The sequence below is a fragment of the Homo sapiens genome, chromosome 3 (assembly GCF_000001405.40).
Source record: "Homo sapiens chromosome 3, GRCh38.p14 Primary Assembly".
Classification (NCBI taxonomy): Eukaryota; Metazoa; Chordata; class Mammalia; order Primates; family Hominidae; genus Homo; species Homo sapiens.
This window is the reverse complement of record NC_000003.12, coordinates 76219790-76234521: the sequence shown is the minus strand read 5'-3', so window position 1 is coordinate 76234521 and position 14732 is coordinate 76219790. Positions and strand designations below refer to the sequence as shown.

General features: G+C 37.5%; 1 protein-coding gene across 9 annotated transcripts in view, besides 1 other annotated feature; it reads right to left on the bottom strand.

Annotated features, from left to right (window-relative positions):
* Window positions 1-14732, bottom strand: part of ROBO2 (roundabout guidance receptor 2) — a 1743290-nt gene that overhangs the window by 1415443 nt on the left and 313115 nt on the right. The gene's annotated exons all lie outside the window — the stretch shown is intronic.
* Window positions 1772-1941: an enhancer, noted in NCBI's record as "experimental_71192 CRE fragment used in MPRA reporter constructs". NCBI's record gives its function as "activates a minimal promoter by MPRAs in K562 erythroleukemia cells, with activity observed for the introgressed 3:76281817 variant allele {active_cell/tissue: K562}" and the evidence as "EXISTENCE:reporter gene assay evidence [ECO:0000049][PMID:34662402]".

Sequence of the window (14732 nt, the reverse complement as noted above, 5' to 3'; positions counted from 1 at the left end):
GAAGGGAACACTTTTACGCTGCTGGTGAAAACCTGTTAGGTTTGTCCAAAATTAACTGTAGTTTTTGCCACTAAAAGTAATGGCAAAAACTGCAATTACTATTGCACCAACCCAATAAATTAGTTCAGCTATTGTGGAAAGCAGTTTAGAGATTCCTCAAAGAATCTAAACAGAATTCCCACTCAACCCAACAATTCCACTATTGAATATATACCCAAAGAACATAAATTATTCTACCATAAAGACATATGTTCATTGCTGCACTATTCATGATAGCAAAGAATCAACCTAAAAGCCCATCAATGACAGACTGGATTTAAAAACGTGGTACATATACACGTGGAATACTATGCAACCATGAAGAGAATGAATTCATGTCTTTTGCAGCAACATAGATGGAGCTGGAGGCCATTATCCTAAGCAAACTAACACAGGAATGGAAAACCAAATACTGCCTGTTCTCACTTATAAGTGGGAGTTAAACTTCAAATACATATCAACACAAAGAAGGAAACAACAGATATTGGGGTCTACTTGAGGTTGGAGCGTGGGAAGAGACTGAGGATTGAAAACCTACTTATTGGGCACTATTCTTATTACCTGAGTGACAAAATAATCTGTACAGCAAGCCCCTACAACACAACACAATACACCTGTATAACAAAGCTGCACATGTAACCCTAAACCTAAAATAAAAGTTAAAAACAAAATAACAAAAAAGTAAACTAAAAGAGTGTACGTTTATGAATTGTTTGAATCTAAACCTTTTGGTAATGCACCAAAGACAAGACATCAAATTGAAATAGATTGGAGGATAAGTCCGGGCATGAAGAAATGACGTGCTTGAATTTAACAACTTAGTAATTACGTTCAGCTTTGAATGAGTAGACAGTGGTAAGACATAACTGGAGGAAATGTGGAGCTGATGCGTAGGTTGTATTTGCTGGACTTTCAAATGGGAGAGACTGAAGCATGTGCACAGGCTGACAGAAAGGGTGCAGTAAATGCTATATTCCAGATAACCTGAGGGCAGATCCATTATCTACTGTACTACCAGCAATTACAATAATACCCAGCAGGCCAGGCGTGGTGGCTCACAACTGTCATCCCAGCAGCTTGGGAGGCCGAGGCAGGCGGATCACCTCAGGTCAGGAGTTTGAGACCAGCCTGGCCAACGTGGTGAAACCCCATCTCTACTAAAAATACAAACATTAGCTGGGTGTGGTGGCAAGTGCCTGTAAGCCCAGCTACTTGGGAGGTGAGGCAGGAGAATCGCTTGAACCTGGGAGGCATAATTTGCAGTGAGTTGAGATCAAGCCACTGCATTCTATCCGGGGAGACAAGAGTGAGACTTTACCTGAAAAATAAAATTAAAAAAAAATAGAATAACACCTGGCAGTAAACTTTGAATTGATGTAGAAAAAAAATAAAATAAGAAAGAATGAATGAATTCAATAGGAAGAATAAGGTTCCATACTCTGGAAACCAGTAATCCATGACTCAAAATTTTCAAGAAGGTTTAGAAAGACTGGAGGACAGTTCTTCTTTAGAAAGAGAGTGACGGTGCGAGATTAACACATATACAAGTAGGTTAGCCAATTTGGTAGCTGGTGGCTGAGCATATTGCTATCTATTTTCTCTGTGAGATAAAAGGCTGGGCTATATACTGAGAGTGGTGGTGGAGTGGGAGGGAGTGAAAGGTTTGAAATAGTTATAAAAGAGTTAGAAAAGACCACTCACAAGAGGAAATTTGTAGGATTTACAGGAAGTAGTGGAAAAAATGCCTGGCTGTAATCTGTGATCATGAAATGTATAAGAAGGGTTAAATAGCATTGATATACAGTTAACAGCATCAACTGTTAAGATGGAATTACTGTTTAAATGATTTGTTTGTGATCGTTAAATAAGAGACAATTCAGATACAATGACTGTTTCTGATATGTGACCATAGTTTATATTTGCAATCGATGTACTGTTGCAACTTTGCATCAAATTTGCCCTGATGCAAATAATCATATTTAAATATATTCTCCTTTCCAAGATGAGAATGTCAAACAACTGTCTTACTGTTATAGAAATGATTACAGGTTCAAATACGTTGTTGCTGTTGCAGCAATAGTGCCAGAAAGAACAAATTAGTTGATCTGTATTGACCGTGTCTCCATGGAGTTAAATTTCTAGACTCTGAACCAATAGGCCAAGATACATCCAAATTATCTTTAGTTCTAGTCTTTTCTTCTCTTCTCAAGTCTACTATACCTTATGAAGCCATATATACTGAGATGCTTAAAAATGTAATAACTATTGAGAACTTCTTTAGTATTTTGCTGATGTTAAAATCTAGGCCCTGCATGTTGTTTTTCTGCTTTTCTTAGTGATCTTGCTGAGTGCTGTCTCTGTAGCTGATCACTCATGCTAAAGCTCAGATCACAACCTGACTGACTGATTCTTGGCACCACCAGGATCAATGTATGATGAAACATTTATGATGTTAGCAGTCTATTTTGAGCAAGTTAGCCTTTAATCTATAAATTTATTTTACTAATGAGGACACAATTTTTAAAAACTTCTGTATAGAGAATAAGTAATAAAAAATTATCAAGTATTTTTATTGAGTCAATAAATTTCAGTTTTGTTTGAAGGACCTACTGGGTTTTATTCAGAATTAATCTGTTTTTCTACGTGTTGCTGCCTGAATACCACACATAATATTACAGTACAGATTTGTTTATACATCATAATGTCTTAACTTCTCATTAAAAACTAAACCTCTATACAGAAGATTGCTTCATCCTTGTTTCTTAGATCTTAAATCAGATTACTTGAACATTCTTACATGTAGTAAGTACACAAATGTTTATTAAATAATAAAGTCACCAACTGCTACAGGCCAGCCACTGTGTTAGAGTTGAAGGACGTAGAGAAAAACACCTTCCAAATCCCAATCTCATAATAGGCACTGACAGGAGATAGTAAATGAAACTACAGATGAATGGGCAATTTCAGAAGAGGAGTCAAGAAAGTCATCAAAGAAAAAATGAAATTGAAACTGGCTTTTGTAGAACAAAAAACGGTATACCTATCAGGCAAGGGTAACTCGCATTACAGATGAAGGACTACAGAGGAAGAGAATGAGCCTGAGAAGGAATGGACATAAAACCGCAGAGCAGTGGGTGCTAAGGGAAAGATTAACAGAAGCATCATCATGGTACATAAAGCAGCAGAAGGTAAATGGAGGTAGCAATTGATGAAGAGGAGGATTAGCAAGAAACGGTTATAATTGCTCTTCATGTATTACGCTGAGAAACTTGGGCTGCATCAGTCTCCGAAATTCTCAGCAGAAGGGCATGGGTGTGTATTAACATCCTAGGGTTGTCCTAACAAAGTTTCTCTGACTGGGTAGCCTCAAACAACAGAAATGCATCATCTCATTGTTCTGAAAGCAGTAAGTCTGAAAGTAGGAGGTTGAGAGTGTTGATTCTTTCCGCGGGCTCTGAGGGACACGTGATTCGTGCCTCTCTCTTAGCTTCTGGTGGTTTATTGGTAATCTTTGGTGTTCTCCGGCCTGTAGATTCATTACCCTGATCTCTGCCTTTGTGTCCTTGAAGTGTTCTATTGATATACAAGTCTGTGTCCTAATTCCTTTGTTAAAAGGGCACCAGTCCGGAATTAGGGGTTCACCCTAATGACCTCATTTTAATTTCATTATATCTGCAAAAAATGTATTTCCAAATAAGGTCATGTTCACAGGTATTAGAGGTTAAGACTTTAACATATCTTTCTGGGAATTACAATTCAAACCAAAACAGTGTGAGAAGGAGAGGGTTGGGGCAGAGTAGTATCTTTACATTCAGTGACCGATTGAATAACAAATAGTAGTAAGTAATTCCAGATGAAAAGTCAGAGAACATAGAGGAAAGAAGATGAGGAAAAATGAGAAGAGAAAAGGGCCAGGGAAAGAGTATTCATGGGTATACCGAGGAACGCAGAAGAGGAGAATGGGGCAGAGAGACATGAAGCACCCTAAATGGGGAGAAGATGATGTGGCTTAGCACTCATAAAGCAAAGCAGATAAGGCAAGTGAGACAAGACTGAAGCAGTTGTTAATTTGACAATTAATGGAGAATCCCTAGCCTTTGGAAGGACAAATGTAGTAGTAACCTGGGAAGGACGTGCTATGTAAAGGAAAGCCATTTTTTTTTTCAAATGAGAAATACAAGAAAATATGTCTTTATAAGAAGAGAGAGCCTTTGAAGCTATGGGCTAGTGGATGGAGTCAGGAATAGGAGAAATTAATGCACTGGACTCCATGAAGAAAAAGGTCCTTATTTTCAGTGGAGGGGGTGATGTAAGGATGTGTGGTATCAAGATAGATGTGTGGGTATCAAGTTATTAGGGAAAGAATGAGAGACTGGAGGAGCTGACACCTGATGGCATCATTTTTTTGCTCTTTAAGAAAAGGCTTGATTGTTTGCTAAAGAAACAATGGTTGGGCAGTATCTCCCAGGGTCTCCTTTCCTGCCTGCCATCCATGATAAGGTTAGTTTAGGCTGGAGCCCCTGAGATGCCAGCACAGATGAGTATTTCTATCTCAGCACAGGGTGGTACCAGTGCTGTTGGGACATTTCTTCTTGCTCTCAGAGAATCCATTACATTCATTTTCATGAGCTAAAGTTATGGAGGAAACACCTTTGGTTGATGTTTCTAGTTGTTACCCCTCTGTAAATATAATTGTATAAATAGATCTTCTATTTATTACATAGAATATTATTCTACTGCTTTATTAAATATTTATCAAAATATTTTCTACTTCTTTCATAATGTGAAAGAAGCTAGGATAAATAGGACAAAACAAAAAGTAAAACCTGCTGTTCCTGATGTGAATATAGAGAAAGGGAATGGCTTTATATGAGATACATCATTATATGCATATCATGGTAACCATATGATTCCTATTAATAATACTTTATTTAACTCTTTCATTTGATTCACATTAAGAATAATTGAGTAGGCTGAAGAAACTTAATACAAATATATTTTGATATTTATGTAATCCAAAAAGGAATGATGTAAAATGATATTCATCTATTGCTTGTTTTTTTGAAATGATGATACAACTAATAGAAAATCAGCTAAATTAGTTATTGTAATTTTACTTTGAATTAAACTAAACTGGTCTAGTTTCATTGGATAGAGACTTTAGATTTGCTAAGATATTGAAATAATTTACTTACAATAAAATATTGCAAATAATGTAAAAGGCAAATAAAAATTCTGGTTTGCAACACTGAGATAAAGATACAAGAATAAGAATTTGATCTTTTATGAGAAAGAAATCATTAGTTTTCTAATAATTCAACATTAAATGTATTTAATTTATACTTTTCTCCAAATGCAGTGGGTTTTCTTTCCAAAAAAAAATTGTGGAAACTGATATACTAGAGAATTTGAGAAGAGGAAAGATTTTATTTAAGATATCTTATTTCTTTTCTTTTTTAAGAGAGGGAGAGGATCTCGGTCTTTTGCCCAAGCTGGAGTGCAGTGGTGCAATCACAGCTCACTTCTCACTACAGCCTTGAACTCCTAGGCTCAAACAATCCTCCCATCTCAGCGTCACAAGTAGCTGTGATGACAATTGTGTCCCAGCATGCCCCACTAATTTTTTAAGGATATTTTGAAATAACCAAATATTTTCCAATTTCATGGAAATGAAATCAACATTTGTTTATCCACTTATTGTGATTTATTTTGTTGAGAAGTAAAATCTGTGAGTTCTTATGAAAGTTTCATGGCAGTCAGTAAACTGGTTTGGTTTGATTAGACAGATACTTTAGATTTGCTAAGATGTTGACATAATTTATGTAAAATAAAATGTTGTAAATAATGAAAAGGGCAAATGAAAATTCTGATTTGCAACGCTGAATTAAAGATACAAGAATAAGAATTTGTTCTTTTATGAATATGAATTCATTCATTTTCTAATAATTCAACATTAAATGTATTTAATTTATACTTTTCTTCAAATACTATGGGTTTTCTTTCCAAAAAACTGTCTGTCTGTAATTTGCTATTTAAAAATCTTGTACAGATCTTTTGGAAAAACTAAGATAAAAGTGTTTAGGATTTAATGATCTATGCTGATAAATGCACCAAGTTTCTGGCTGAACCTGAAGGAATACATGGTACTGTCTCTGGGTTGCCTATTTATAGAACCATTCTTGGTTTCATAACCCCCATACAATTGCTGCTGCCATAATCCATTTGCTGTCTTATATGTGCTCTGCAATTGTATATAAATTGAATCTTTATAAATTGAATTATTATAGTTGAAACAGAAAATATTATGGAGAATCCTTTGGTAGACTGCCAAGGTCTTTCACAAAATAATCACCTGATATTTTACATGTTTTTAAACATCCACACTTTTTTATTTCAAATTAGGGTATACTATAAAATTCTAGCATAAACACACAGTGTTGACATTATGTAAGATTCTTAGTCAATACTTTAAAGGAAAATAGCAAATATAACCCTTACTTTTTTTGTATAGAGTATATTAGGCATATTATCAAAAGGTTAGATCATATCTTTAAACGAAATCTAAAACCAGTTAGGCTTGGGTTTGTAGATAAAAATAAAAGCTTGGCACTAAAAAAGTGATTATGTGTGTGTTCAAAAGATTGCCAGAGCAGTGCTTCTCCAATATTCATGCGCAGAAGAATCCCCAGCGGATGTGTTAAAGCAGAAGTCTAGGGTGGGGTAGGTGATTTCAAATGTCTACAAAGCTCTAAAATTAAGGTGACTCCGTTGGTCTTAAATCACACCTTAGATAGCCAAGTAGTAGAGATTCTTTTTATCCTTGGACTAAAGGTGTGGATTTCTTAAAAATACTAAGCTTATTTTCACAGTGATTCAAGGAAACATATAGTTTTAAAAATTAAAACATAATAGATGCTATCAAAAATGAAAAGCTATAAGGCTGATCCTGATGCTAAGCATCATCACAGAAGAAACAAATATATACCTAAAAATGGTGTATGTTATTAACTATCGTAAGATTTATTTGAGGTGTACAAAGTATGTAGAGTCATAATCAAAATTAATCACAAATACTTTTAAAAAGAGACAATCATTTTTATCCACTCAGAAAAAGAATAAATGAAGGAATGCTGAAACATGGGTGAAAATTGCAAATAAAAGTAATATAATTATCCCATACTGTGCCCTTACATTTGGTACTCTTCGCAATAATGGCAGAACATTAAGAACAGAGCTAACGACAGGCCGACCAGCAATGTGCTGGCAGAATCAAGGGTTAAGAATTCTCAAAAAGTATCTGATTCATTTAGCATTCACCAAATATACTTTCAGAAAGAGAAAGGAATTACCACATTTTATGAAATCAAGTCTCTAAACCATTCCAGATTCACTGTAGTGAGCCAGTCGGCAAAATTGTTGGACACTAAATTTGAAAGAAAATGGCAATGCTGGTGAATGCCAACACCCAGGCCCCGTCATCTCTTCTTGTTCCTGGAGGCTGATGGAGATGCACAGATGTTTAGAGCTGACATGCACAGTGAGGCCTCCTGGACTTTCATGGGCTTTCACTGCTGTGAGTACATTTATTTTTATAGGTGTTATAACAGATCACCTTCTCATTTAACTTTGCCAAATACAGGCAAGCAATGGACCCTAATGCTATAGAAACATGCCATTAAATTGATTTTTAAGCTCAGATTGCTTTTCAAAGTTATTAGGGCCTAGGGCAAGTGGTTTGTTCACTGCCAAAGTGAAGGAAATGACTGAATAAAAATAAGAAAAAGTAAAGGAGAAATAATTGTAACTAATTTTTTTTATACATCACTAAAGGGATATTATTTTGTCTAGGCTGGGTTGAGATTCATGATAATCTAACTTGAGACAATAAAAAAATACATTATAATTGATTTGTTAAAAACTGGTCCAAACTTTGCATAGAATTCTTACAATTTTAAGGAACATTAGAGAACACGTAGTTCTCCTTACTCGATTTTCAGATAAGAATAGTGTAGACAGAAATATGTGACAATTCTGACCACAACAACCCTTATTCCTTCATCACCACCCTTCAGGGCACACACCAGCTTGTACACACATACACACACTACAGGCTCACAGGCACACACACACATCTCAGGACACAGAAGAATTTTGTGGTGCTAAAATTATTTCATTATTTGTTTAAAGTTAATTTGTTGCATGTAAAGAATCTCCATCATCTTTAAATTATTTCATATCTATCCTTAATGTTATGACACTTATTTGCCTTCTCTAATGTTAAACAGATTTTCTGACCTATATTATAAGGAGAAAAAATTAGTGTTCTTATAGACTTCATTGAATTTCTTAGTATTAAGTTTTGTTTATTTTTTAAGGAATCTCAGGGTTTGCTGAATTTATTTTCAAAGCTTCCATGCTCAGGATAAGCTATTTATTTTAGAGGCCTAAATTAAAAATGCACTGTTATTTTGGACAAACACCCTTTATCTCCACATTTGGGCAATGTTGAACAATTTTTAAGATTTGGAAGTAATATTTGCAATTGGTCCATATTTGCCATAATCATAGAATTTGGAACTTGGAAAAAAAATCTTAGAGTTAATGTATCTTGCAATGTTTAGAGTTTTTTGGTATTTGAAAGTATAAGCTTAAAAAACTGATAGTTTCAGGCTTTTAAAAATAAGTCTGAATTCATTTTTATAACTTTCCTTCTTTTTAACATTTTTAAAATGAATTTTTATTTTATTTTATTTTATTGTTCTATTTTTGGAGACAAGGAATCCCTCTGTCATCCAGGTTGAAGTGCAGTGGTGCGATCTTGGCTTACTGCAACCTCCACCTCCCAGACTCAAGGATTCTCCCACCTCAGCCTCTCGAGTAGCTGGGATTACAGGCACATGCTGCCATGCCCAGCTAAGTTTTTGTATTTTTGTAAAGACTGGATTTTGCCATGTTGCCCAGACTAGTCTTGAACTCCTGGGCTGAAGCAATTTGCCTGCATTGGCTTCCCAAAGTGCTAGGATTACAGGCATGAACCACCACACCTGGCCTGAATTCATTTTCAAATTAGGAAATAAAAATAAGCAGCTAAGAATACAATTTAATTCAATTTGTCAGTAAAGTAATACCTACGACATAAAAAATTAATACACACATATTTTGCAATGGGCTATAACATAAGACATTGACATTGGTGTAAATTTATCTTTGCTTTAAAACATAATAAACTTCTGAAAGCCCATTGAAAAATTTGAATTCAATTTAATGCTCTTTTTTCTGTGGGGAATGTACAGCCCCCACTGTTTTTGTTATAGACCCTCAGTGAGTGTTCCTTGAGTGAATAATATCCTATTAACTTCTCATTCACTATTTAAATTAAAATGACTCAGAAAATATTTATATTTACTAGTTACCATATTTATATAAATGAGTATATTAAGAAGTATAGTTACTTTCTGTTAGAAGAAAATGAGAAAGTTTACAAAATAGAATGGAGTCTACAGCTTATCATACCTTTCACTCTTGATAGGCTTAAGTGTATTAGTGACTCTAAAAAGATTGCTCACAGTTAATATTTTGACTTTCCTGGTCAGGGAAGGGGGAAATGAGATTGTGCATTAATTATAGACCTCGTGTTTAAGCTAAATCAATGAAAATGCCAGGATGATTGAAGTGTTTGTACTGATGATTGAGAAGTGTGACTGGAATAAGGAAAGGGAAGTAGCTGAGTCTAGAAGAACAGGAATGTGCTAGTTTGTGGATACTCAGGATTCAAGGTTAAATAGAATTTAGCCATTAGAAAATTATGAATTAGGTAAGTCGTGGTTAATTTTATGGGTCAACTTGACAGGGCTAAGAGATGCTCCAATAGCTGGTAAAACATTATATCTGCATGTGTCTGTGACAGTAGTTTTAGAATAGCTTATCAATTGAATCAGTAGACTGAGTAAAAAGTATCTGCCCTCAACAATGTTGGTGGGCATCATCCAATCCATTACGAGCCCAAAGAGAACATAATTGTGGAGAAAGGGTAAATTTTCTCCATCTTCTTGAGCTGGGACAGCTATCTCCTCCTACCCTTGAAGTTACCAGTTCTTGGAGACTTAGACACCAACGCCTCTGCCTCATATCCTCTTAAGTTTCTCAGGCCTTTAGCTTTTAAGTAGGAATTATGCCATTAACTCTCTCGGTTTTCAGATCTTCAGACTGAATTACACAACTGTCTTTCCTGGTTCTCCACCTTGCAGATGTTATATCAATCCAATATTCAGAAAACTCATTCTCAAAATTTTCTTCTAGAACCCCTCTTGGTACCAAAAATCTGTGCTATTGAGGGTTCCCCAAATAAACAGTACCAATAAGATATATGTAGATATGTAATAAGAGACTTATTAGAAAATGGCTCATGTAGTTGAGTTTTCTGAACTGAATTTGGAGCTTCTGGATGTGACTCTCTAATCTGATTATAAAAATGCAAAGCAGTGACTGATAGTTCATGGCAGGAACTATTTTTAGAGATATGCAAAATATTTATATTAGCTATTTCTAACCCACTACTTATAAGAAGTAAAGAGCTAAATAACTTTGAATATGATACTTTAAAACATTTTTGGAAAACTAAGGAATAGAATGATGCTGATTGGTTGCTCCTAATGTCACTGGACAAATGATGAGATCAAAGAATTAGCTTAGAAATTCTAAATCCCAGATCAAGGGCTGCACAAATGACCTAAGAGCTTCTAAGTGTGCCCTGAGTGAGAGCCTTATCTCCTGTAGCGGAAGGGCTGATATTGCTGATACTCAGATTATTGACCTTATCCTGTAATTGGCTTAATTGCAATACAAGTTGTACTCCCAGCCTTGAAGGATGTGTACTGTTAAAATGAGGGCACCGATTGGGGAAAAACTGAAACCTATAAGCTGGGATGGGGATGTCTGGAAAGCTCCTGATGAAGCTGGGAATATTGAGCACCTAAATTCTGATGAGTCTTCTTCGCCAGTGGAAGAGATCTCCCTACTCTCAGTGGTTGTGGCTTCTCCAACCCCAAGAAAAGTAGCCTCCCCACCCTGGGTGAAAGTGGCCTCCCTACCCCCCTACCTACTTCCCCACACCAAAGGTATCAGCCTTTTCATCTCTATCTGAGGGGGTTAACCCCGCATTGCCCCAGGAAACAGTAATGGCCTCTCCTGAGGCAGTTGGAATATAAAATAATGCTGATTCTCTTCAGGATCTACCAATTAATCATTTCCTTGCTTCTAGACCATAACTAGACTTCAGTTCTAGCAGGATCCTAAAGGTGATAAACGAAGCATAATTCATGAGGAAGTGTACCATTAATATACTCCAAAAGAACTAGAGTTTTCTAAGTTATACAAGCAGAAGTCTGGGGAGCATGTCTGGGAATGGATATTAAGACTGTGGGATAAGGGCTGCGTGCGGTGGCGCATGCCTGAAATACCAGCACTTTGGGAGGCTGAGGCGGGCAGATAACCTGAGGTAAGGAACTTGAGACCAGCCTGACTAATACGGTGAAACTCCATCTCTACTAAAAATACAAAAGTTAGCTGGGCATGGTGGCAGGTGCCTGCAGTCCCAGCTACTCGGAAGGCTGAGACAGGAGAATTACTTGAACCCGGGTGGCGGAGGTTGCAGTGAGCCCAGATCATGCCACTGCACCCCAGCGTGGGCGACAGAAGGAGACTCCATCTGAAAAAAAAAAAAGTGTGGGATAATGGTGAAACAAACATAAACTTGGATCAGTCTGAATTTATTGACATGGATCTGTTATAGTAGTCTGGTATGAGCCGGGTAGGAGAGGGCTCTCCCCCACCCACACACACCAGGAATGTCAGGCACCATCAGGTGATGGTCAGATGGTTGTTAACTGTCTTTCTAAAGTAATAATTGGTCACAGACAGTGCCAGGGAAAGGCAGTCTCCTGCTGGATAGAAAATACCTAAAACTGGTTATCAGCAGCTTCCCAATAAGATCTCAAGGGTTGGGCGGGTTGGGAGAAGTGACACAAGACCCTGGAATTATGCCAACGTATAAGCCTAGTCACAAGGTCAACATGTACACTTGTCTTTCAAGTCACCCACTTGGCCCTCTTCCAAGTATACTTTCTTTCCTTCCTTTCATTCCTGCTCTAAGGCTTTTTAAATAAACATTCACTCCTGCTCTAAAACTTGCCTCAGCCCCTCCTTCTACCTTATGCCTCTCAGTCAGATTCTTTCTTCTGAGGAGGCAAGAACTGAAGTTGCTGCAAACCCATACCAATTTGCCACTGGTAACGTGTTTTGGTGCCACGTGGCTCAGATACATTCCACCAGTAACAGGTGGACATGGTGGCAGGGATGAAGGTTATGCATGCACTCAGCAACATAGGTTTCCACTCACCAAGGCTGACCTAGCTATGGCCACCACTGGCAGATTATACAATCTGCCAGCAGTAGAGACCACATTGTGATCCCATTTGGCATTATTCCCCAGGGTGATCAGCCAGCTACCTAGTGGCAGTTTATCTACATTAGACTGCTTCCACTATGGAAGTGGCAGCATTTTGTGCTTATTGGAATAGACCCTTCTCAGGTTATGGATTTGTCTTCCGTGGGTGCAATGCTTCCACCGAAACTACCATCCGTGGACTTATAAAATGTCTTATCCACAGGCACAGTATTAAATACAGCATTGCTTCTGATCAAGGAACTCACCTCAAAGACAAAAAAGTGTGGCAATGGGCTCATGGTCATGAAGTCCATCGGTCTTACCATGTTCCCCATCATCCAGAAGCAGCTAACTTGATAAAAATGATAAAAGGGTCTTTTGAATTCAGTTACAGTACCAGCTAGATCGCAATACCTTACACAGCTGGGCCAAGATTCTGCAGAAGGTTGTATATTCTCTGAAGCAGTTTCCAACATATAGTAGTTTCATCAACAGCCACAATTAATGGGTTCAGGAATCAAAGCGTGGAAAATGAGAGTGGCACTGCTCACCATCACCCTGAGTTACTTGTAAAATGAGAGTGGCACTGCTCACCGTCACCCTGAGTTACCCACTTGTAAAATGAGAGGGGCACTGCTCACCATCACCCTGAGTTACCCACTTGTAAAATGAGAGTGGCACTACTCACCATCACCCTGAGTTACCCACTTGTAAAATGAGAGTGGCACTGCTCACCATCACCCTGAGTTACCCACTTGTAAAATGAGAGTGGCACTACTCACCATCACCCTGAGTTACCCACTAGCAAAATTTTTGCTTCCCATGCTCATGACTTTATCTTCTGTTGGGCAAGAGGACTTAGTTCTAGATGGAGGAATGCTTTCACCACAGAAACAGTCAATATTGCCTGGGGTTATTGATTCAGACTACCTGGGGAAATTGAACTACTACTTCTCAATGGAAGTAAAGAAGAGTATATCTACAACACAGGAGATCCTTCATGATGTCTCCTAGTATTACCATGTTCTATGATTAAGCTCAATGCAAAACTAAAACAACCAAATCCAGGCCCATCCTTTTAGAAACGAAGGTTTAGTTGTGACCACCCTGCAAGTTCTACAACCAGTGGAAGTTCTTGCTAAAGAGAAAGGAAATACAGAATGGGTGGTAGAGGAAGGTGGTTACAAATACCAGCTATGATCATGTGACTAGTTATAGAACTAAGGACTAAAATTATCCTATTTCCTCCTTATTTTGTTTTGAACATGTCTGTGTGTGTGTGTGTGTGTTTTCATCAAATATGTTTGTTTTCTTTCTTTTGTTTACATCTCAGTATTTATGTTCTGGATATCAGGAGAGGATTAAACACCACTCAAAGAATGTCTTAGTGCATCTGTGCTCCTGTACCAAAATACCTAAGACTAAGTAATTTATAAGGAACAGGAATTAATTTTTCACAGTTTTGGAGGCTGGGAAGTCCCAAATCAATGCTCCCAAGGCATTTGCAAGCCTTCTTGCTGCATCGTCACAAGGCGGAAGGGCAGAAAGACAAAAGCAGCCTCACTGGTCTCCTCCACACATTTTATAAGGCACTAATCCCTGTGTGAGGATCGAGCTTTTACATCCTAGTCACCCCCTAAAAGACCACACCGCTTAATACTGTCATACTGGGGATCGAGTTTTTTTTTTGTTTTCTCTTTTATTATTATTATTATACTTTAAGTTTTAGGGTACATATGCACAATGTGCAGGCTTGTTACATATGTATACATGTGCCATGCTGGTGTGCTGCACCCATTAACTCGTCATTTAGCATTAGGTATATCTCCTAATGCTATCCCTCCCCCCTCCCCCAACCCCACAACAGGCCCCAGTGTGTGATGTTCCCCTTCCTGTATCCATGTGTTCTCATTGTTCAATTCCCACCTATGAGTGAGAACATGCGGTGTTTGGTTTTTTGTCCTTGCCATAGTTTGCTGAGAATGATGGTTTCCAGCTTCATCCATGTCCCTACAAAGGACATGAACTCACCATTTTTTATGGCTGCATAGTATTCCATGGTGTATATGTGCCACATTTTCTTAATCCAGTCTATCATTGTTGGACATTTGGGTTGGTTCCAAGTCTTTGCTATTGTGAATAGTGCTGCAGTAAACATATGTGTGCATGTGTCTTTATAGCAGCATGATTTATAATCCTTTGGGTATATACCCAGTAATGGGATGGCTAAGTCAAATGGTATTTCTAG